Raw genomic sequence first — 24109 nt, forward strand, 5'->3', positions numbered from 1 at the left:
TGGGACTATCCTTTGTTACATTTATTTGAATTAAAAAATAAAACAGTATTTTAAAGGAAAAATTAGTTTGATTTGAATTGATTCACAGTAGATAATGATTTCATCATTTAAAAGTTATAGATTTTGGCCAGGTGTGGTGGCTCACGCCTGTAATCCCAGCAGTTTGGGAGGCCGAGGCCACTGGATCACGAGGTCAGGAGTTCGAGACCAGCCTGATCAACATGGTGAAACCCATCTCTACTAAAAATACACACACAAAAAAATAGCCAGGTGTGGTGGTGCACACCTGTAATCCCCGCTACTCAGGAGGCTAAGGCAGGAGAATCGCTTGAAACTGGGAGGTGGAGGTTGCAGTGAGCCGAGATCATGCTACTGCACTCCAACCTGGGCTACAGAGCAAGACTCCATCTCAAAAAAAAAAAAGTTACATATTATGCCATTTTTCAAAAACTAAATTAGCCAGATCTGCAGCTTCACAGTTTGACAAAAAATATACCCAAAACGCATGACTTCTTAAACAGATAGAAAATATTATTTCAAAAAACATATATTGAAATTAAATAACATTTCAGTATTTCCCAAACTGTTATTATATACATCAGTTTGAACTAGGTGACTATAGGAGAAAGAAGTAGGAATATAATTAATAATTGTTTGTTATGTCTTGGTAGTATTTTTGGTGTACTTCCCAGAAATTACTGTTGCAAATTGGGCAATTTTCAATTCTTTGCTTTCATTAAAATTGAAGGAAGACCTAATAGATTTGTCAGTTGGTAGACTATCTGAAATAAATTTTGTTATAAATAATTATGTAAACTGTGGCATGCAAAAAGTTGCTGCCGTTGAGTGTCATCATTATAATGAAAAGCCTTCAATGCTTCTCTATTTAGAGAACAAGATTTTTCAATGCTTAAACCTTAAGGAGAAAAAAAACCTAGAAATTGAATCGTCCTTAATTCTGTCTCATTCTAGTGCTAATGCTTGGTGGCTCATGCCTATAATGCCAGCACATTGGGAGGCTGAGGAGGGTGGATCACTTGAGGTCAGGAGTTTGAAAGCAGCCTGGCCAACATGCTGAAACCCCGTCTCTACTAAAAATACAAAAATTTGCTGGACATGGTGGCGGATGCATGTCATCCCAGCTACTCGGGAGGCTGAGGCAGGAGAATTGCCTGGACCCGGGAGGCGGAGGTTGCAGTGATCTGAGATCATACCATTTCACTCCAGCCTGGGCGAGACAGCAAGACTCTGTCTCAAAAAAAAGAAAGAAAAAAAAAAGAAATTCATATCAAATAAAATTTTATTTTATACCTAGTAGTTTTAATCAATATTTATAATAATGTTGTTTTGATCAATTTTATATAACAATAATTGTGTTGATAAACAAGAATACATTTTCAACACAATGCCTTATGGACATGGGAAAAAATCAAATTTAAGCTTATACATATTTAACATATATACAAATTTATACCTATACATAGATATTTTCTGCAAAGAAGTGTGATAGAATTATCAATATAAAAATTTCTTGGGAGGCCGAGGCGGGCGGATCACGAGGTCAGGAGATCGAGACCATCCCGGCTAAAACGGTGAAACCCCGTCTCTACTAAAAATACAAAAAATTAGCCGGGCGTAGTGGCGGGCGCCTGTAGTCCCAGCTACTTGGGAGGCTGAGGCAGGAGAATGGCGTGAACCCGGGAGGCGGAGCTTGCAGTGAGCCGAGATCCCGCCACTGCACTCCAGCCTGGGCGACAGAGCGAGACTCCGTCTCAAAAAAAAAAAAAAAAAAAAAAAAAAAAAAAAAAAAAATTTCAAGTTAAAAAACATTAGCACAAGCAGTGGAGTTCACAAAGAGAAGAAATTACATAAAATGTTTGATCTTTAAACAAGAATGTATACGTGTATCTTTAAATAAAAGAAGGTGAATTTCAAATCACAGTGGTATTCAAATTTCATTGGATTTATTTAAAAGAAAAATGTAGTAGGTCCCTTTAACATCTATTAGTATTGATAATGTGCCAAAATAAACAGACCTTTTGCAGCCAATTATTCTAGTCCATACTACCCAAAGAAATCTACAGATTCAATGCAATGTTTATTAAAAATCTGAATAGCATTTCTACAGAAATAGAAAAAAAAATCCTACAATTCATATGGAACCACAAAACACCAGAATAATCAAAACAATCTTGTGAAAGAACAAAGCTAGAAGTATCACACTTCCTGATTTCAAAATATTAAAAAAGCTGCAGTAATTGAAACAGTATGGTATTGGCATAAAGACAAACATATAGACCAAAGGAACAGAATAGAGTCCAGAAATAAATCCACATGTAATGGTCAGCTGATCTTCAACAAGGTAGGCATTTAAATAATGTTTAAAAATATCAAGCATCAATTCCAAATGTACATAGTTTTCAAGTGTTTAATTCTTTCCAAATATATGGGAGCAGAAGGGGGCAGTACTCTAAGTCAGTAGTTCTCTATACTGGCTGAGAATAGGAATTTCCTATTCAGTTGTTTAAAGGATTACCATGATATGACCTACTCATGGAAGTTTGTTTTCCTTAGGCTTGATGTAGGGACTACATGGTACACTTTTCAAATTTTTCATCAGAAATATTAGTGCCTTCCCTTTCTCTTCACTACTGATTCTTCTATGTCCTAAATTGCTCAGAAACACCTGGTGTCTACTCAGGAAAGATGATTCTCTAATACCAGAATGGCATCACAGCTCTGATTGCTCCATTGACTCCTTTTTAGGCCCTGAGAGTCATTTCCTTTCTGAGACTGCAGGATCAAGCCTTTCACACAACTAGCCTTTTATCAGATAATGAGTCTGTGTATCTATACTGTGCGTACCGTACTTCTCAGTAAATCGTGAGTTGGTGTAGATCTGGAATTGAAAACTAAGTCTTCCAGATTCTTCCTAGTCCAGTATCAAAGACTCTACAACTGTTTTCTTAGGACAAACTGTCTTGTGCCTGCAATAGAAAATAGACAGAATGACTAGCCCTGGGCTTCTTTCCCTGTTCCCATGGTGGTTCAATAGCTTTGTTACATGGCTTCAGTTATGCCTACTACTCCAACTCTAGTTCTCCTGTGTACCAGAAACACAAACCTGCTTGTCAAAAGATAGTAATCCAGTAAACAAAATAAATGTGTTTGTTTTTCTGTAACATCAGAATAGTTTATAAAAATAGTCACAAAAATATGGGAAGAAGAAGCAAATACCAATGTAAATAGAGAGTTTTCCCTATGGCAATGTTACTGAAATAGGAGAATGAAGGTGGTAAGTAGAACAGGGAAAGGACATTTCTGGGCACAGCTCAGAGTTGCAAAGCATGGATAAATAAGCGAAGTCCCACAGACTAATTTCAGAACCTTGACTGGATCCATCCCTGAATAGTAAAAAATATTATTATTACTGAATAGTAAGAAGTAAGTTGTTGTTACTTCTGAAATGGGCACAAATTTAACTTTCCAATCTATTCTCTATTCCTCTAAATAATAATAAATTCATGTGAATATCATCCCCTTTGGAGTGTAACACCTTGATTGTAATGTCAATCAAGTTTTGGTTAAAGTCAACAGTATACAATTATCATGTTCTAAATTTTATTTCACTTTACTACTGAAAAGTGCAGTTGTAAATTGGTGAGTGGTTCTGTGAGCAAAGTGCAAGAACTTAAACAGCCTCTAAAGTCAGATTACGTTTAAGATTTTTTTTTGCTTTTAATATTCTCAGGTATTCCCTATATGCAAATTTAGTAATATAAGGTAAAATATTCACAGTCTGGGAGCAAGAATCCTTAAATCTTATACCCAGTTGTATAACAAGCTGTTTTGTAATTATGAACTAAATGAGATAATGTTTAAGAAATTGCCTTGAAAACAATAAAGGTAATGTTATTTATTTTCTCTTTAGCTCAGTTTCTTCCACTGCTCATTGAGAATACTATTAGCTTTTCAGGCCAACTCACAGTGACATACAAAAATTAACTAAATCCTACTAAATTTACTTACTCCCCAGATAGAACTGTGATTCTTAAAGCTAGTGTAATAATATTTAGTGTAGTTCACCACTATCCTACACAGCAGCAAATTTTATCCCATATCAACCATTATTATCAGGATGCAATATATTTTTCTATGTGTACTGTTTGAAGCATATCACATTCTAAGGAAATGTTTGGAAACATCAGGGAATAAAAATGCCAACACATTTAAGATAGTAGTAAGGATTATATGTTGCAAAAAAAATCACCAATAATTGTGTTTTCTTAGTAATGTGAGATTTAAAAGTTGAAATTGTTTGCATACAATGTTGTGCAATAAACAATGTATGATCCCATTTTTATATTTGATTTTATAATCATAAAATTATTTCAGGAAGAAGTGAAGTACATTAAATTATAAGTTATTTCAGAAATAAGTAAAGTATATGAAGATATATTAAAATACAGTATTTTTTGAAAGACATTACAAGTTTTTGGCCTTGAATAAAAGGTCAGCATCCTTCTTCATAATACTGTATATAATATTATTGCCTTTTAGGATGATTTTCCAGTCATGATCAGTTATTATGATACAAATTTCTTAAAAATATATCTTTGATGGCAATTTTCTCTTCATGAGAACTTCTAAACATGGTGATAGGACAATAATAGTAGGATATGTTAGTGTTTTCAAATAAGAGCAAGGAATTCTCAAAGGAAGGGTATAAAGATGACAGCTATAAGATGAGGGATAATTTATTGTTCAGTATGTTATACTTGAGGGAAAAAGAATTTAAAATATGGGCAGACACACTTAAGCTAAATAATTTTTACACAGTAAAAAAAGAGCCATTGGTGACATTCCTTCTGTACCTTTTGCTTTTACCAATCTTATAAATAGGATCGAAAACTCTACTGTTCCCAACCCACACATTCTTCTATATAACAAGATATCTGATTCCTAGTTCTTATTATTCTCTTGCCTTTTCCTCTCCTCATGGCACTGTGGCTGCTTCTGTCCTGACTGCCATTTGTTTCTCTCTGACACTTGTCCCGACTGCCGTTCATTTTGTTAGACTCCTATCAAGCAGTGGCCCTGAGAGTCAAGGCCATAACTTTTTATATACATATGTTTACTACGTGTAATCTTCTAACTTAGTTCATACTATTACACTTTATTATACTCAAGGAAGCAGTTATTTGTCACGTGATTATTTTGGTTAGTGCTAATTGCAAATATGGCTCTAGAGTCATGGACTGAAGTAGAGTGTCCTGTCTTCAAGGATATTTTGAGTTTCTTTATCTCCTCTTATATCCTGAAATTTATGAGTTATTCCATTCTCCTTTATTGATTTCCAATAGCTCTACCTCTTAAGTTTGATTAGCTTATCATCAACAACGTTATAAATAGAGACTATTCCTTTTTCCTCTCACGACCTAGTGTCTTCTAGCAATTCGTCTTTACTTTCCCTACCCCCTGTTCCATAACCTAATTGATTTCTTCATCAGAGAATAATAGCAGGTTCTATTTTATTTTTTAATGTCTTAGTTTTTCAACTCATACGCATTCTAATTTCATGCCATCTTCTTAGTTTAATGCCATGTTTAGGTTGATTCAGTCCTACCATACGATATGTTAGCATAAAAACAATTTTTCCTGAAATTATACTGTGAGGTACGGAAAACTTCCATGTCAGTGATTCAATAATTGTTCACGTATTTCTCTTCAGCAATGTCTTTTTTCGCAAACAGAAATGTCTGTGTTGCTTACAATTTAAAAATTAGAGGCAGGTTGTCAAAGGAAGCTTGATAATAAAAATATAGTAAAGAAGTCACCAAAATAGATGACAAAATGTGTTTGGCCACATCTTTATTGTCCTTTAATTGTGACTCTGGGATCTGAATTGATATGACATAGCCATGTGGTACTCACATGTTCTTTGGTTCAAACTTGTGGCCTTAAAAGCTTCAAAGTTGCTGTGATCATTTATCTGGGCTGATTTGGAAGACCCACATCCCGGCAGTAGTATGGATTTTTCTTCTGGGCAATATATTGTGGCAATATAATAGGGTGCACATGACAACTTATCACCAGGATAGTATATGGAGTAATGGATCATAGTTGCTGTCTTGGAATACAGGCAGAAACTTCATTAGAGTCTGGATTTAGGATAACCAATGGCATTGTATTCTTCCATACTGTTCAACTGCTTAGAGTTAGAAACAGGTTTACATTCATTCAGTCACTCAACAGATATTCACTGAGTGCCTCTGCCCTGCATTGGTATGAAGCACTGTACATACAGGGGTGAGTCAAAGTCTTTGCTGTCAGGTAAATTAAATTCTTGTAAGGAGACGCAAATGAATATCTATAGTATGTTCAGTAGGGTAGCTGCTCTGCTGATGAATAAAATAGGATAAGGTAAAAAAGAGCCAAAAGAGAATGGCCAGGGAAGGCCATTCTGTGATAGGTGACTTTAGAGCTAAAATCTGACTGCAGTGAGGACTGGCCCATGTGGATATTTGCGGAAGGAGTATTATAGGTAGGAGAACATTCAGGGTAGGGAACTCTACTCAGGCCAGCATTATCTGGAGCTCTGACCAGGTATAGCCTAGTCTGCAGTCAGTAAATACATATTACTATTCTTAAAAGGAAGCTAGCTTACATATATTTTTCTTCTTCCCTCTTTCTGACTTCTTAAATTCTCCTCTTTCATTAAAAGATTCCCCACATTCTTTCAGAATCTAATCATTCTCTCCACCTCCGTTTCTCACATTTTTTGGCATTACATTTATTTTTCAACTTTTTCTATCCACCTCACCATATTCCATTTATCTGTTTCCTTCTGCCTGACAAGCCTGACATTGAGCGTACTGCTCCCCCTCTCAAGTCTTCCCCTTTCTGTCCTCCTCTCCATCACTGTCAGGATAAATATCATCATCCCCATTTCTGAAGACTGGAATCATGCTGTCATCTTCACTCTGTTTTCTATCTCCTCCCATGTAGGTTGGTGCAAAAGTAATCGCAGTTTTGCCATTTGAAAGTAATGGCAAAAACCACAATTATTTTTGTACCAACTCCAAAATAATCCAAATGCATTACTATGTAACTAAATTTTAGAGAAATGTTAGTTACTTGATTGCTAGAAGCCAATATTTTTCCAAGTGTTTCTAGAAAATCACTGTTGTTACTCATCCATTCGATTATAAAACCTATTCTCCAGAATCTTGTTGATGTTAAGTAACATTTTTATGGTAGACAATGCCTTGCCAAAGGTTGATTGGCATGACTCATTATCATCACTCTTCCCTCTGTACAGATGAGTTCATATAAACATTGGAATTTTCAAGAGTGTTTTTAAAAGATTCATTCAGTGAGAAAAGTATAGAATAATATTAATAAAATTTGATTTTGTATAGCATTATTTTAAACATAGTTTATAGAAATCTTCACATACAAATTATTGTGATGTGTTCAACAACTCCATAAGTGAGATTAAATCTGAGTGCCATGAGCATGTGTCTGGAAAAATTATTTGATCATTTAAGTTATAAATTAAGAATCACTGAAAGCACAATTAAATATATCTGCAAGAACATTTACCTGAGATTAATCTTTGCTTTCTGTGTGTGTGTGTGTGTGTGTGTGTGTGTGTGTGTTGCATAATAGATTTTTTCTTTTATATCCCATATGCTTACAGATGTTAATCTCCAGAGAAGAACAATAATTCTCTCAAGAAAGGTGGTTTGTTGCCTGGCTTTGTTTCACTGACACCCAGTTGGAAGCTCTGATGACAAATAGTCTGCCCATCAGCTTTGCTTCATGAATCCAAAGAAAATGGAACTTATCAGAAGCTGAGCCTCAAGCTTTACCTGTGCCTGTTATTTGGGCCTTTTCACGCTAGGTTTGGCAGGGGTCTTAGTCTTTCATCATTTGGTTCACCAATAGAAAGAGAAGGGAGCAGTTGCACTTTTAGGTACCACTCTGCAGACTGCTATATTGCAAAATAAACAAACAATATATTTTTAGGGCACCACCTGCAGCAAGCAGCTGTACCAAACAGAGCAGAACCACGAAGGATGTGATTTGTTCCATTTAACACGAAGCCTTAAGGTTTGAGAAGAGAGGGAGGAGAAGGTTCTATGTATACAACCCACACATCACAATTTAAACTGAAGCTGATTTTCTCTCTTTTTTAGATTGGAATTGAGGTATCATTATATCTCTCCTCCTTTCCCACCCCACAACCTCTGGTTGAAAACAATTCTATTATTGAGGTTATAACGTTAACTGAGAAAATTATTTTTCTCTGCCAGCAAACTTTCTTTTCCATTCAAGGGCAATTTTCTCTCATAGCAAACTATACTTAAATGCCAACATCTGCTACATCTAAGCTGTATATAAAATGATGTCTGGCATTTACATGATGCCAATGACATGGTTAGAGAAACTCATACACTTGGCTTACACAGGATTTTCTTCTCATCTATAGCTTTCCTCTATTTCTGTCCTTCCTTAGGATCTGTCTGCCTCTCTAAATGTGCCACACAAGTTCAAAATACTCTGAAAGCTGAACCTTCAGCTCTTATTCTGATCAACAATCTGTTTTTGCCTTAATCCATTTCTTTCCAGGCATAAAAACTATATAGAGCCTCATGATAAAAATTTCACCATCCCTGCACTCTCTGAGTATATAGCAGCTGATGCAAGACATATTTTAGGTACTTGGTTTTTTCTTGGATTTAAAAATCTCTTCGTTCTCTTAATGGCTATTGATTCTGGCCTCACAAACCAAAATCACCATTTCATTTTCAGTTCTAGGTGAGCTGGGATAAATATAATTAAATTATAGATGACTCTGGAGGCAATCCAGTTAGTTACAAATTGAGGTCATTCTAAGTACAGAATGGGGCAGTTAGCTTTAATATTAGATTGGCCACCAAGAACCATACAATATTTTAATGTTTTTCCTGTCAATGAGCCCATTTTAAAAAACAAAAAAGAGAGAAGAAACTGTTCTAAATATTTATGAAGTGAACTAGAATGCCATTCTTAAGTCTTCTACCACTTACTAGATTGTTAGTCTGGGGAGAAAATTACATTTCATAGTACTTTCAGATATTGCTCTAGGACTCAGAGAAGTGAGATGAAAGAATTATAAGTCTGCAATGATGCCTCCAGATAACAGAGGAAATCAAATCTTGTGAGCCGGGAAGCAAAGTTGCCTTCACTGTCATCATCAAGGGGATGATTTGTAAGAATATTGGGCATGAAATAAATTCTTGCCAAAGTTGTCTACAGGAGTGTCCAATGTGGGAATTGTTGTCATCTCTTTCACCCTTCTAACATTAAAAGGAACTTACTGAAAAAGTTCTCAGACTGGATTTTGCTAAATTGTGTCTGCTTTGGAATCTTTGTCCATCAGTCAAGTCTCTATGACTATTGGATAGTGCTTTTAACTCTGTGTGGTCAAAACTTTGGAAGAAGTAAGAGAAATATCTTTCATTCCAAAGAACAAAAGAGGACCATTAGTCAGAGCATCTTTATTTTTCATAAAAAGAAAAGTCAGTTAGATTGATCATTCATGAATATTTATAATATATCAGATATTCTTTGGGGCTCTCTGGAAAAAAGTAGTAAGCCTTTGACAATGAGGCTGTGTGGAATAAGGGAAAGGAATAGATATAACTGATATTAAATAAAGTTAAAAAATGGCTTGACAAAGAAGAGGATTCAACATCTCAGATTATTGAAACCCTATGTAAAAGATACAGAGACAAAGGTTAGGCATCTTCTCTAAGCCTCAGTTTCCTCATCTGTAATAGGCATAACTACTCTCTAACTCATTTGGTATTTTTAATTGTTGTAAAAAACACATGACCTGAAATCCACCTTCTCAACAAATTTTTAAGTGTCCAAGACACTGCTGCTGACTGTATGCACATTGTTGTAAAGCAGATCTCCAGAACTTTACATCTTGCATGGCTGAAAATATACACTCATTGAACAGCAACTCCTCATTTTCTCCCTTCCCCAAGCTTCTGGCACCCACCATCATACTCTCTGCTTCTGTGAGTCTCACTACTTTAGATAACTCTTGTTAAGTGGAATCATGTAGTATCTGTCCTTCTGTGATGTGCTTGTCTCATTAAGCATGATATCCTCTAAGTTCATCTATATTGTTGCCTATAATAGGATGTTCTTCTTTTTAATGCTGAATAACATTCCATGATATGTATATACCACATTTTCTCTATCCATTCACCTGTCAGCAGATATTTAGGTTGATTTCATATCTTGCCTACTGTGAATAGTGCTGCAGTGAACATGGGAATGCAGATGTTCGTTCAAGATTCAATTTTCAGTCCTTTGGCTAAATATCCAAAAGTGAAATTGTTGAATGATATGATCATTTTACTTTTAATTTTTTGAGAACTGTATACTGTTACACCATTTTACATTTCAAGCATCAGTACACTAGGGTTCCAGTTTCTCCACATCGTTGTCAACACTTGTTATTTTCTGTTTGGTTGTTGTTGTTGTTTAATAATGGCCATCCTAACAAGTATGAGGTGATATCTCACTGTGGTTTTGATTTGTATTTCCCGGATGATTAGTGATGTTGAACTTTTTTCATATACCTGTTGGCCATTTGAATGTCTTTTTTGAAGAAATATTTACTTAAGTTCTTTGCCCATTTTTTAATTGGGTTTTTTTTTCACTATTAAATTTTAGAGGTTTATCATATATTTTAGATATTAACCTATTATCAGATATATGGTTTACCAATATTTTCCACTATTCCCTAGGTTGCCTTTTCAGTCTGTTTATTATTTCCTTTGCTGTGCAGAAACTTTTATTTTAAAGTCTAACTTGTCTATTTTTTGTGGTTGCTTGTGCTTTTTATTTCATATCAAAGAAATCATTACCAAAACCAATGCTATGAAGTTTTCCACCTATATATCTTCTAGGAGTTTTACAGCTTCTTAAGCCTTTCTTCCATTTTGATTTGGTTTTTGTATATATTAGTTCAGTTTCTTTCTTTTGCATGTGGATATTTACTTAACATCATTTGTTGTGAAGACTATCATCTCACCATTGTGTAGTCTTGACAACCTTGTCAAAAATCATTTGACTGTATATGCATAGGCTTCTTTGGCTTATTTTGGGGCTCTCTACTCTGTTTCATTAGTCTATATGTATCTGTTGTTATGCCAGTACCATACTGTTTTGATTATTGTAGCTTTGTAATATGTTTTGAAGTCAGGACGTGTGAGGCTTCTGCTTTGTTTTTCTTTCTCAAGATTGTTTGGGCTGTTGGGGTCTTTTTGGTTCCATATGACTATTAGAATATTTTTTCTATTTCTGCAAAAAAGAGCCATTGTGCTTTTGATAGAGATTTCATTGAATCTGTAGATTGTTTCCGGTACTATTAACATTTTTAAGAATAGTAAGTTCTTTCAATCCATGAACATGAATGTCTTTCCATTTATTTATATCTTCTTTAATTACTTAGCAATGTTTTATAGTTTTCAGGGTACAAGCCTTTCATATCATTTGTTAAGTTTATTCTTAAGTATTTTATTCCTTTAGATGTGATTATAAGTGAGATTTTCTTAATTTCTTTTTCAGATTATTTGCTGTTAATGTATAGAAATACAACTGATTTTTTTGTGTTGCTTTAATATCCTGCAATGTTTGTGAATTTGTTTCTAACAGGTTTTTTTGTGAGACCTTTAGTGTTTGATATGGGTTTTACAGATTATGTCATCTGAGAACAGAAATATTATTCTTTCTTCTTTTCTGATTTGGATACCTTTTATTTCTTTCTCTTGCCTAATTTATCTTGGTGAGGACTTCCAATACAATGTTGAATAAAAGTGGCAAGAGTGGGCATCCTTGCCTTGTTCCTGATCTTCAAGAAAAAACTCTCCATTTTTCACCATTAAGCATGAGGTTAGCTGTGAGTGAGCTTTTCATATATGGTTCTTGTTTTACTGGCATAATTTCCTTCTATTCATAGTTTGTTGAGTGTTTTTATCATGAAAAAGAGGTGAATTTTGTCAAATGCTTTTTTCTGCATCCATTGATCTGATCTTGAGATTTTTAAATTCCTTCATTCTGTTAATGTGGTATGTTACATTAATTGATTTTTGTATGTTGAACCATCTTTACATCCCAGGGATAAATTCTACTTGATTATAGCCTATGGTCCTGTTAAGGTGTTGTTAAGTTTAGTTTGCTAGTATTTGTTGAAGATGTTTTTGTTTTGCTAGTATTTGTTGAAGATGTAAACATCGATGTTCATCAGGTATATTGACCTATAGTTTTCTTTCTTGTAGTGTCTTTTTGTGGTTCTGATATCAGGACAATGTTGGCCATATAAAATGAGCTTGTAAGTGTTCTCTCTTCTTTAATTTTTTTGAAAAAGTTTGAGAGGCATTGGCATGAATAGTTCCTTAAATGTTTGGTAGAGTTAATCAGTGAAACTGCTTGTTCTTGGACTTATGAGTTATTGCTCAGTTCAGATTTTCTATTTCTTGATAATTAAGTCTTGATAGATTATATACTTTTAGGAATTTATTCATGTCTTCCAAGTTATCTAATTTGTTGCTGTATAATTATTCATGGTAGTCTCTTATAATCCTTTGTATTTCTATCACATTCATAATGTCTCCATTTTCGTTTCTGATTTTGAGTCTTCTTTTTTCTTTTTTATCCTAAGTGAATGTTTGTTAATATTGTTGATCTTTTCAAAAAACAGTTGTTAGTTTTTTTGTTTTTTTAATATTTTTTTCCATTCTCTATCTCATTTAATGTTTACTACTTCCTTCCTTCTGTTCAAAATTGGGCTTATTTTTTCCTTCTTTTTCTGGTTCTTTGAGTTGTAAAGTTACATTGTTTGTTTAATATCTTTCTTCTTTTTTAATGTATGCATTTACCACTGTAAACTGCTTTCTTCATACTGCTTAGCTGCATCTCATAAGTGTTGATACGTTTTGTTTTTATTTTTGTTTCTCAAAACATTTTATAATTTCCCTTTTGATTTTTCCTTTGTCCCGTTGGTTGTTCGAGAATGTATTGCTTAATTCTCACTTATTCATGAATTCTCCTATGTTTCTTTTGCTGTTGATTTCTAGCTTCATTCCATTGTGGTCAGAAAATATTTTTGGTATGATTTCAATCTTCTTAAATCTGTCATGACTTATTTTGTGACCTAACATGTGATTCATTTGGAGAATGTTGTGTGTGTGCTTGAGAAGAATGTATATTCTGCTGCTGTTGGACAGAATGTTCTGTATATGTCTTTTAGCTCCATTTTGTCTATATTGTTGTTCTAGTCCTCTTTTTCTTATCGACTTTCTATCTGGGTGTTCTATCCATTATTGAATGTGGGGTATTGAAATCTCCTACTATCATTTAATTGCTGTTTATTTCTCCCTTCAGTTCGTCAGTAACTGCTTCATATATTTGAGTGCTCTGATGTTGGATGCATAAATATCTATAATTGTTATATCTTCCTCATGAGTTCACCCTATTATCCCTATATAGTCCTTCTTTGTCTCTTGTGACTATTTATTATTTATTTATTTTTAGAGACAGAGTCTCACTCTGTTGCCCAGCCTAGAATGCAGTGGCACAATCATAGCTTACTGCAGCCTCAAAATCGTGAGCTGAAATGATCTCCCACCTTAGTCTCCCAAAGTACTGGGATTATAGGCATGAGCCACCACAACTAGCCTTCTTGTGACAATTTATTTAAAGTCTATTTTGTATTCTATAAGTATGGCCCACCCCTACACTTTTTTGGTTAATATTTGCATGGAGTATCTTTTTCCATCCTTTCACATTTAGCCCATGTGAATACTTAAACCTAAAATAAGTCTCTTGTTATCTCAAGATCCAGCATTAAATTGGATCTTGTGGGGTTTGTTGTTGTTGTCGTTGTTGTTGTTTTGGGGTGGAGGACAGTGTCTCGCTCTGTCGCCCAGACTGGAGTCCAGTGGCGTGATCTCGGCTCACTGCAACCTCTGCCTCCTGGGTTCAAGCAATTCTCCTGCCTCAGCCTCCCAAGTAGCTGGGATTGCAGGTCCACGCCACCACACCCAGCTAATTTTTGTATTTTTAGTAGTGACAAGGTTTCACCATGTTGGCCAGGCTGGTCTCGAACTCCTGACCTGAAGTGATCCACCTGCCTTGGCCCTCCAAAGTGCTGGGATTACAGGCGTGAGCCACCGGGTCTGGCCAGATCTTGTGTTTTTATTCATTCAGTCATTTCCCATATTTTCAAAAAGGAGTTTAATCTGTTTATATTTAAAGTAATTTCTGAAAAGGAAGGGCTTACTATTGCCATTTTGTTAATTGTTTTCTCTTGGTCTTGTAGGTTTTTTTCATCTTCTTTCACTCTTACAGTCTATCTTTATGTTTCATTGACTTTTTTTAGTGGCATACTTTGACTTATTTCTCCTTTGTGTGCCTTCAATATTTTCTTTATGGTTACTATGAGATTTATTTAAAACATCATATAGGTAAAACAATCTATTATAAACTAATCACAACTTCAATCAAATACAAAAACTACTTTTTCATCACATACACATTATGTTACTGATGTCATAAATTACATCTTTTTATACTGTGTATCTATTAACATATTTTTATAGTAATAGTTATTTTTGTAATTTTGTATTTTACTTCTATGTCAGAATTAAAATTGATTTATGTACCATTACAGTTTTACAGTATTCTGTATTTATCCCTTATGTATTTACATTTACCCATGATCTTTCTATTTTCATATGCTTTTGTGTTGTTATCTAGCATCCTTTCATTTCCACTTAAAGGACTTCCTTTAACCTTTCTTTTTAAGGCAGGTCTAGTGGCCATAAACTCCTTCAGTTTTTCTTTATCCAGGAATGTCTTCTTTTTCCTTCATTTTTGAATGACAGTTTTGTCAGATTTAGCATTTTTTGCTGGTAGTGTTTTTTTTCTTTCAGCACTTTGAATATATTATCCCACTCCCTTCTGAGTTGCAAGATATTTTTTAGAAATCCACTTACAGTCTTATAGAAACTACCTTGTATGTGATGTCTCTTTTTTCGTGCTACTTTCAAAATTCTGTCTTCATTTGACTTTTAACAATTTAATTATCATGTGTCTCAATGTGGATTTATTTACATTAATTGTAGTTGGAACTACAGCTTTTTGAATCTGGGTGTCCATTTCCTTACCTAGATTTAGGGAGTTTGGGGGCACTATTTTTTCAAATAAGCTTACTTTTCCTTTCTCTCTCTAGTCTCCTCCTGAAACTCTCATAATATATACATTGGTTCACTTAATGATGTACCATAAGTTCCTTAAGCTTTCTTCAACTTTCTTCATTCTTTTTTTATTTTCTCCTCTTTCTGGATAATTTCAAATAACCACTCTTTGAGTTTGCTGATTGATTTTTTTTCTCATACCTGATCAAGTCTGCTGTTGTAGCTTTCTAGTGAATTTTTCAATTCAGTTATTATATGCTTCAGGTCTAAAATTCATTTGGTTCGTTTTAATATTTTTCATCTCTTTGTTAATAATCTCATTTTGTTCACCCATTGTTTTCCTGAAATACTGAGCATCTTTATGACAGTTATTTTGAATTCTTTGTCAGAAATTTTATATACCACCATAGTTTGGAGTTCATTTGTGGAAATTTTCTTTTGCTCTTTTGATTGTGCCATGTTTCCCTGTTTCTTCATGTGCCTTGTAACTTTTGTTCGGATTCACACATTTGTCAAAGTAGCCACTTCTCCCAAACTTTAAAAACTGGCTTTGTACAGGGAAAGATCTTTGTTAATCAACCCACCTACAGACTCTGACAACTTCTCAAACCTTTTCTATGGATGAATCTTCTCTGGACTAGTGTGTGTAAATTTCAAATCAGAGCGATTTACTAGTTTCATTTTTTCCAGCAGTTTGTGTTCTTTCACTCCCTTGGTGCATGTCAGAAGTACCAAAGGTTCTCCGGAGTGATCATCAGATGCCTAGCTGTTTTATTCTCTGTGGTCCACAGGCTTCTCGAGTATACTAGGTCTCATTAGGACTCCAAGACAGTCAAGAGAGAAGCCAGTCCCTGGACAGCCCACCCCCAAAAAATAATCCTGAATATTGCAAACACATTTCAACTCTTTCCCTCCCCTGGAAGAAGCCATGTCTTGGGGTTTTCTCTTGCCCATTCTACCCTGAACCCGGGACAAGGGTGGGACTATGATGCATAAGGGTGTGCTAGTCCTAAGCATCACTTTTTTTTCAGTGACGCTCAAATTGGTGCCCTTTTCTGTCAGTACTTACATTTAGACAAGACAGAAACCAGTGCCTTGGGCAGCCCTCCAAAAAGTATGAATGTCGGACATATTTCAGCTTTCTCCTTCCCTACCTAGGAAGAAGCCAGGAGCTGGAGGTATTTTCCCAATCATACTATACTGAGCCAAGTGGAAGGACTGTGATGAATGAGTGCCATCGATTTTTCTGGCTTTGATGCAGCTAGTTTTGCAATCACCTGGGGTTTAGCAGTCTCTTAACTGGTTTGTTGATTACTCACAGAAAGAATGGATCCATGTGTTAGTCATTTTCTCCACAGAGGAAAGAGAGCCTGAGAATTTTTATTCTACCATCTGATGATGTCACTATCCCTAATTCATTGTATTTTGTGGGTGAGAATAAAATAAATAATGGTTTTTAAAAGTCTCTATTTTTTTCACAGAATAGGTCTTCAGTAAATATTAGTTGTTTTGTTGTAATTATTGTTAATAATGTGTGACAGGAACTAGGCAGGTTTATATGGAAAAAGTAGAAGTAGTGACCATTCAGGATTTTTACATGAGAGCTGGGCTATTCAAAGTTGTCAGTTGATAAATGAGTCTGAAATTTAGGCAAAATTTTTAAATGTGATGTGAAAGATAACAGAAACCACTGTAAGTGTCTAAATAGATAAGAAAGCAAGAGATATCATTATTTATTACGATGAGCCACCAAAATTTTCTTATAATTCTCTTATGTGCTATATTTTCTATTAGGCAATAATAACAAATTGTTGTTTCTACTATACTGAAAATTCCTCCATAATAATCTGGTTGTAAAGTAACCTAAGGAAGAACCAAAACTTGACGGCTATTTGAATATGGGACCTTAAGAAAGAATAAATCAATCAATAATAATGTTTAAAATTTAAGGAATGTGTTTCCCTTAAAGATTTACTGCAGACCTCCTTATAAAGGAGAAGCCAAGAGATGCTGTGGCAGTTGATGATTTGATGAGTCAAAGACAGAATCAGTATATATCTATGAGTGGAATTGACATCTAGTTTTAGTGTCAAATAATTAGATAGCTTCTCATGAACTCATTCAAAGCTGGTTGAGAGCCTTTTAACATAGAACACTCCGTTTTAAAAATGTTTACCTGAGAATAAATGTTTTGCATCCGTCTTTACAGTCCACCTAGGAACTGGCATAAATGTCAGAGTTCCTACATACAGGAACCAAAGTCTTAGATTTTATGTCTTAGTGGTATTTGGCTATCAGGTGGCTCTCCCTGAACATACAAATTAAAATATATTTATTGATTCAAATACTGTATATATGCATATGAAAAATAATGCAAATAATAAGGGAATTACAAGACAGCCCAGGATTTTTTCTTGCTTTTACTTCATACTCTCAATGGACAAAATAAAGGTTAAATATAACAAATTACTTGACCACTGCAGATAATATTTGCGCTGAGACAGAATTGTAAGCAAATTTTAAAGTGACCGTCCTTTCCCTTAAATGTTCAATGAGATACCTAACTTTAATTAGATAATATTCATAAAATAAATGAGAAAGAAAGGAAAAACTAGGCATATTTAAAATATACTTCTACTTAGTACTTTTCTTAATATATAAATAAAAAATAATCCAAAATATGCAACTAGATAGTAGCATATGAGAAATGATTCTAGTTAATCCCATTCTAAATATTACTTTCAGGATGCAAAAACTGAGAACAGTCCATAGAGATTATTTAGTATAATTTCTTTGTTTTATAGATGAGAACACTGAGTCATACAGCTGAATCCTTCCAGGGTTAGGACGATAAGCACTTTACAGATCTATATTCTTCCCATATCAATCATTGTATTGACTCTAGTGTTCACATATTATTTTATTAGCATCTAAGAAATATAACCTAGGGCTCTACTTATATATTTAATTTCAAGTCCACCTATAAAACAGCAGGAATTTATTTTAACTTTTTTTAACATCTGTCTTCTATCCTTTCTACCTCCCACTAAGAATATCATCTTCTTTGATATAAATCACACATCTAACTGTCTTCCACTTCTTTGGGGGTAAATGTTATTAAAAATAAACAAACAAACCCCTGATTGAATATAAATTATATGTTGTTCAAAATCTCTAAGTTCAGAGAATAATTAATAGCTTGATGTATCATCTTGGTGTATGATTAATCTTGTTACTTAATTGCTATTTTCAGATAAATATCTTTGTACCCTTTGACTTATGCTTGCTGCAGAATGATGTAGTTTTCAGAGGGGTGATTATTTATTGTTATGCCATTCTGGTTACTTTGCTTATTGCCAAAGTATATGCATAGTGTATGTGCTCTGCTGCTATAGATAGGAATGAAGATTGGAGATTGAGACATATGGGGATAGAGAAAGTGAATGTTTGGGAAATCTAAAATTGGATATAATATAGAATCTTACTGGCTTCTATGTGAGAAAATCTTCTATGTTTCTGATAATTCTATCCTTCTAAGCACCCTCACCTATAAACAGGTGGGAAACCAGAAATAGAAATAAAAATTTAAGAGATCATTTAAATGCAGAACTGATACCTTGAGCACCAGTGAAGCAAATTTGCAAAGAAACCATGAAAGAAAGGAACAGAGGGAGAAGAAAATATTACAGGAAAGGCAAGAGAAGGGTGAGAAAAATAGAAAGAGTAGAGCAAATACTGGGGATAAAAATGTAATGTACATATTTTTCAAAGAATCAGAGATTTACTTCAAGTTCCAAAAATATTTCTGAACATATATAAATCCAAGCTTTTCATTTTCACCAGTAAAAAATGTTTTTTTTTTACAAATAAAAATTATTAGTAACACAGTTAAATGAAATGGTGAACAGATTTAGGGGACAAATAAATGATCATGAAATGGCTAATCTTTAAACAGCCAGAGAGCTATGATCAGAGAACTACCAAATTTTAATGACTAGTTCCCATTATAGGAAGGATGACCTTGTAGTCATAAGTTAGAAAACTTCAAAAAGCTTATCTGAAAAAGATGCTGGCACTATATAATTGAAAAAGGTCATGGTATTAATCTGTTAAAACATTCATATTCTGTAGGAGGGTCACAATGTTTGAGTAGGAGCATAAGATTAAAAATATTTTATTAGCTTTTAGATTTTGTGACGTGAAGTACTGACAGTAGAGCCAGTGTTTTTGTAAGAACTCACAACCACAGGATATCATTATTTTAACTCAGTATTAAGTCTCAAAAAGAATTGTATAAGTAAAATAGTATCTAACATCAACTTCAATCCGGAAGGAAAATGCTACCAATATTTGTGATAAAATACAAACAAAATGTGCTGAACTTGAGTAAATTTTTCCACTTGATCTACATTTCAGGACAGTATCAATTAATGCTCTCCAATATTAAGATTGATATATTGGAACTTAAAAAAACTCATCAGAGAATTATAAACTCTATAAAACAACGTCTTTTTTTTATTTTGTGAGTAGAGATTAATGGAATCACTTCAATCACCCTACATATGGAAGGCCCAGCTAAAAAGATTACCTCTTTGCTTTACTCAGGTTCTCACTTGACATATCAAACCACGTCTGACGAGGAAGTGGCTCCCACAGCTCTCCTGTCATGCTTCCGAAGTCGTGGGCAGTGATAAGTTTTGACTGTGCAGCCAGCATATGTCATGATAAATTTTCAACTCTCTAAATAAAGAAAATACACACTGTTCTTGGATCAAGATTAGGCTTGGTTTTCCACCCACCTTTGTCCTCAAACACATTTGTAACAAACATAAGTAAATACTTGACAGGTGAATATCACCGGTGCCATTAACTGAAATAAAATGAACCATGAGTAGAAAGTGTTAATTCACTATTTCAATCACATCCCATTCGCAGAAAAAGGATCACAGATTCTCAACCCTTTAAATGTAACCATGGAGAGCAGAAAATTCCGTTCCTGTGGGCAACAAGATAAGTCTATGTGATGCCATTAGGGACTTTTTAATGAGACTTTCTCTATATTGCTATGTGTTGTCAAACGTCTACGTTTATCTAAATGATCTCCTTGGCCAGACTTAAATTCCTACATTATTTCTCTGCTGCCCACATGTCAAAATCTCCTCCACTCAGAGAAGTTGCTTTTCCTGCACACAGTTTACTGGAATTAGGGAGGTTGATAATGCATCTACCAAGTAGAGTCCATGTGAAGGGCTCAGAGAAATAGAAACCCCATATAGAGGAGAAGATTCTGCAAGGCTGAGCAGCACATTACATGCTTTCATCAGCCTCCAGGGTGCGTGCTTGACCAGTGTGCGTGCTTGACTAGTGTGCAAGCACCTTGTTTGATCCCCCCCACCCTGCTTTAGCACATGAAGAGCCAACACCGACCTCTCTATTCACTCACTCAAGCATAAGCATTGGCTTCAAATGCAGAGACAAAAGGGGCAGCTGTTCTTATTCACAGCAAGTAGGAAAAACATCACTATGCAGAGAGATTTGGGACTTGGCAGTAATGGCGAGCCCACATGGTTCTGGCTAGTGTGTATAGGATTCAGCATATTGTGGAAAGTTGAGGCTCCCTGCAAACCAATAAGTCTCACTGGATTTCTAAAGGAGAACAGGTTCTTTACATGTGAGTCCCCATAAGAAACCATTAAGTTTCAAAACAATAACAACACATAAACCAGTAAATTAGGGGTGAGCATTTACATCATAAAATTAATTCTTTCTTGAGGATTCAGCTAAAGATTTTTTCTTAGTGATATAATATGGAATTTAACATACAACAGTTTTAGGCATGTACCAATTCCATAACATTGGTTACACCTGCAATCTGGTATCTTCAAAGGCAATAGGAAAATAAATACATGTCTGCTCGAAATTTTGTGTTTGCATGAATCTGTTGAAGATATTTTCCATTTTTTAAAAGACATAACAGCAGTTAACAGCCTAATGACTTGTAGTGGAGTTTAGTAAATAGAGATTTGTTAAAGTGTAGTTCTTAGACCAGGAGCAACAGCAGCACCAGGGATATTGCTAAAAATGCAAATTCTCAGGCTCCACCCCAGACTCCTATCAGAAACTGTGTGATGCAGTTCAGCAATATTTTTAAACAACTTCTCCAGATAATTCTGATGCAAATTAAACTTTGATGTCCACTACCTTAGCAAAAGAAAAATGTTAGTAAACAATTTATACTACATATTATTCTAAAACATTTGCTGGGATTAGGGGAGTGAATAGAGAGAAGTCTCATAAAACATATAAAAACCCATTAAAATCTGACAAATTTAATCATTGTAATGGGTTTCTTCTAGCCAAGAGGATGAAAGCATAAGTTCCTTAGTCTGACACAGAGTCTTTACACAATGTTTGCCGTCTATCTCTGCAGCCTCATTCATTAGTTCAGCCATTCAGTCACTTAACTAGAATTCATTGAGTGCTTACTACATCTGGACACCGAGTAAGTAAATAGGGAAATGCCAATAACAATAGCAAACCACCCTAACCCCCAAATACCTAACATCCAGCCCCAGGCATTCCATTCCCTGCCCTTTGGGAATTCTGAAATGTGAACATGCTTTTCCTGTTCTAAAATACTATCCTATTCCTCCTTCTTGTTTCCTTATCAGAAAGATTCTTATCCATCCCATAAGATCCAGCTCATATTGATAAAGTCTTCCCTGACTTCCTGGGTAAGGTTAGTTACTTTATATATTGGGGTCTCACAGAAATACATTCATACTACTATTTTTGCACTTATCACATGGTATTGGAAGTCATTTGTTTACATATTTTAAATCCAATTCTGAGGATCAGAGACTGACAAATTCAGTAAGTAGGAATTTGAGATATTTCTCATATGATACACAAGTGGCTTGAAGTAAACATGTGGAAGGTCACTATAGAAAATGGAGTAACATTAAAAAAATTTTCTACCTATTTTAGTTTCTGTGAAAAGGTGAACAATTCTACTTTAAACTAAAAAGGCAGAGAATAACAATAATTAGTAGTGAAGGATGCATTAAATTTGAAATGTAATTGCTTAATGTAGTGGTTTCTCAAAATTTGATCCACTTTTCATTGCTCAAGACTGACCACTAACAATTTGCCAATGATATTACATATGAGATTATTTGCAAGAAGTTGTACAAAGAAAATCCTCCAACTTTGGTATTTTTATGAGGATAACAATAAAGAATTTTGGGATATCAATGTGACAGTTAATGAAAAAGTGATTATCTTTGTGTCTAGCACACGATAAAATGCACAATGAAAAAAATTCTATATTGGCTATATTATGAAATGCTATCCTAAGAACCCTTCATCTAGATCCAATTCTGGTCAGAAAAGGCATGAGAGACATTCTAGTCCAACTTTCTCATGTTATGAGTAAAACAAATCAAGACTCAGAATGATAAAAATATCTTGACTACGAAAATTCAGTTCTGCTTTCACTAGGCTAGAAACTTCTTCACCATATCTTCATGTCTGTATTAGTTATCTATTGCTGCTATATCAATTAAGAGTAACTTAGCAGCTTAAAACAACACACATTCATTATGTCACAGTTTCTATGGAAAAGAATTTCAAGCCCAGCTTAGCTGAATTATCTGCTTCAGTGTTTCTCACAAGATGATAATCAAAGTTTTGGCCAGGGCTGTGTTCTCAGCTGAGGCTTGGCTGGGGAAGGATTAAATTCCAAGCTCACTGAGATTGTTGGCAGAATTCAGTTCTGTGTGCATGTAGGACTGGGGGCTTTGGTTTCTGGTTGGCTGTCAACCAGCAGACTCTTTCAGCTCCTATAGGCTGCCTGTAGTTCATGGTCTTGTGGACTTCCTAACATAGGCAGTCCACAATATTGCAGCTTGTTTCTTGACATCTGCAAGCAAGGGAAAGACTCCCGCAAGGCAGGCCTTACATACAACCTGTATTAGTCTGTTCTCTCGCTGCTATAAGGAAATACCTGAGGCTGGGTAATTTATAAAGAAAAAAGGTTTAACTGGCTCACAGTTCCACAGACTGTGCAGGAAGCATGACAGCTTCTGCTCAGCTTCTGGAAAGGCCTCAGGAAACTTATGATCATGGCAGAAGGCAAAAAGGGAGCAAACACCCGACATGACCAGAGCAGGAGGAAAGGGGAGGGGTGCTACACACCTTTAAACAACCAGATCTCATAGAACCCTATAACAAGAACAGCACTAGGGGAACAGCACTAAACCATTCATGAAAAACCACCACCATGATCCAATCACCTCCTACCAGGCCTCACCTCCAACATTGGGTATTACAATTTTACATGATATTTGGGTAGGGATACAGATCCAAACCATATCATAATCTTATGCAGGTAATCCTGTATATGCATCACATACATCCTATCCCCTTTTCTGTGTTCTGTTGGTTAAAAGCAAGTCATATGGCCATACCTGTGATGGTTAATACTGAGTGTAAACTTGACTGGATTGAAGCATACAAAGTATTGATCCTGGGTGTGTCTGTGAGGGTGATGCCAAAGGAGATTAACATTTGAGTCAGTGGGCTGGGAAAGGCAGACACACCCTTCATCTGATGGGACCATCTAATAAGCTGCCAGCAAATAGAAAGCAGGCAGAAAAACATGAAAAGGTGAGATAGGCCTAGGCTTCCAGCCTACATCTTTCTCCTGTGCTGGATACTTCCTGCCCTTGAACATCAGACTCCAAGTTCTTCAGGTTTGAGGCTGGAATTGGCTCTTCTTGCTCCTCAAGCATGCAGACAGCCTATTGTGGGACCTTGTGAACATGTAAGTTAATACTTAATAAGCT

The 24109-nt window shown here is 35.0% G+C and overlaps 1 protein-coding gene across 9 annotated transcripts in view, besides 1 other annotated feature; it reads left to right on the forward strand.

Moving 5' to 3' along the window:
- Positions 1-24109, forward strand: part of NKAIN2 (sodium/potassium transporting ATPase interacting 2) — a 1021776-nt gene that overhangs the window by 859155 nt on the left and 138512 nt on the right. The gene's annotated exons all lie outside the window — the stretch shown is intronic.
- Positions 20408-21007: an enhancer, noted in NCBI's record as "OCT4-NANOG hESC enhancer chr6:125004573-125005172 (GRCh37/hg19 assembly coordinates)". NCBI's record gives its function as "activates a minimal SCP1, AML or CMV promoter by ChIP-STARR-seq in naive H9 embryonic stem cells {active_cell/tissue: H9 hESC(naive)}" and the evidence as "EXISTENCE:reporter gene assay evidence [ECO:0000049][PMID:30033119]".

Source organism: Homo sapiens, chromosome 6, assembly GCF_000001405.40.
Source record: "Homo sapiens chromosome 6, GRCh38.p14 Primary Assembly".
Lineage (NCBI taxonomy): Eukaryota > Metazoa > Chordata > Mammalia > Primates > Hominidae > Homo > Homo sapiens.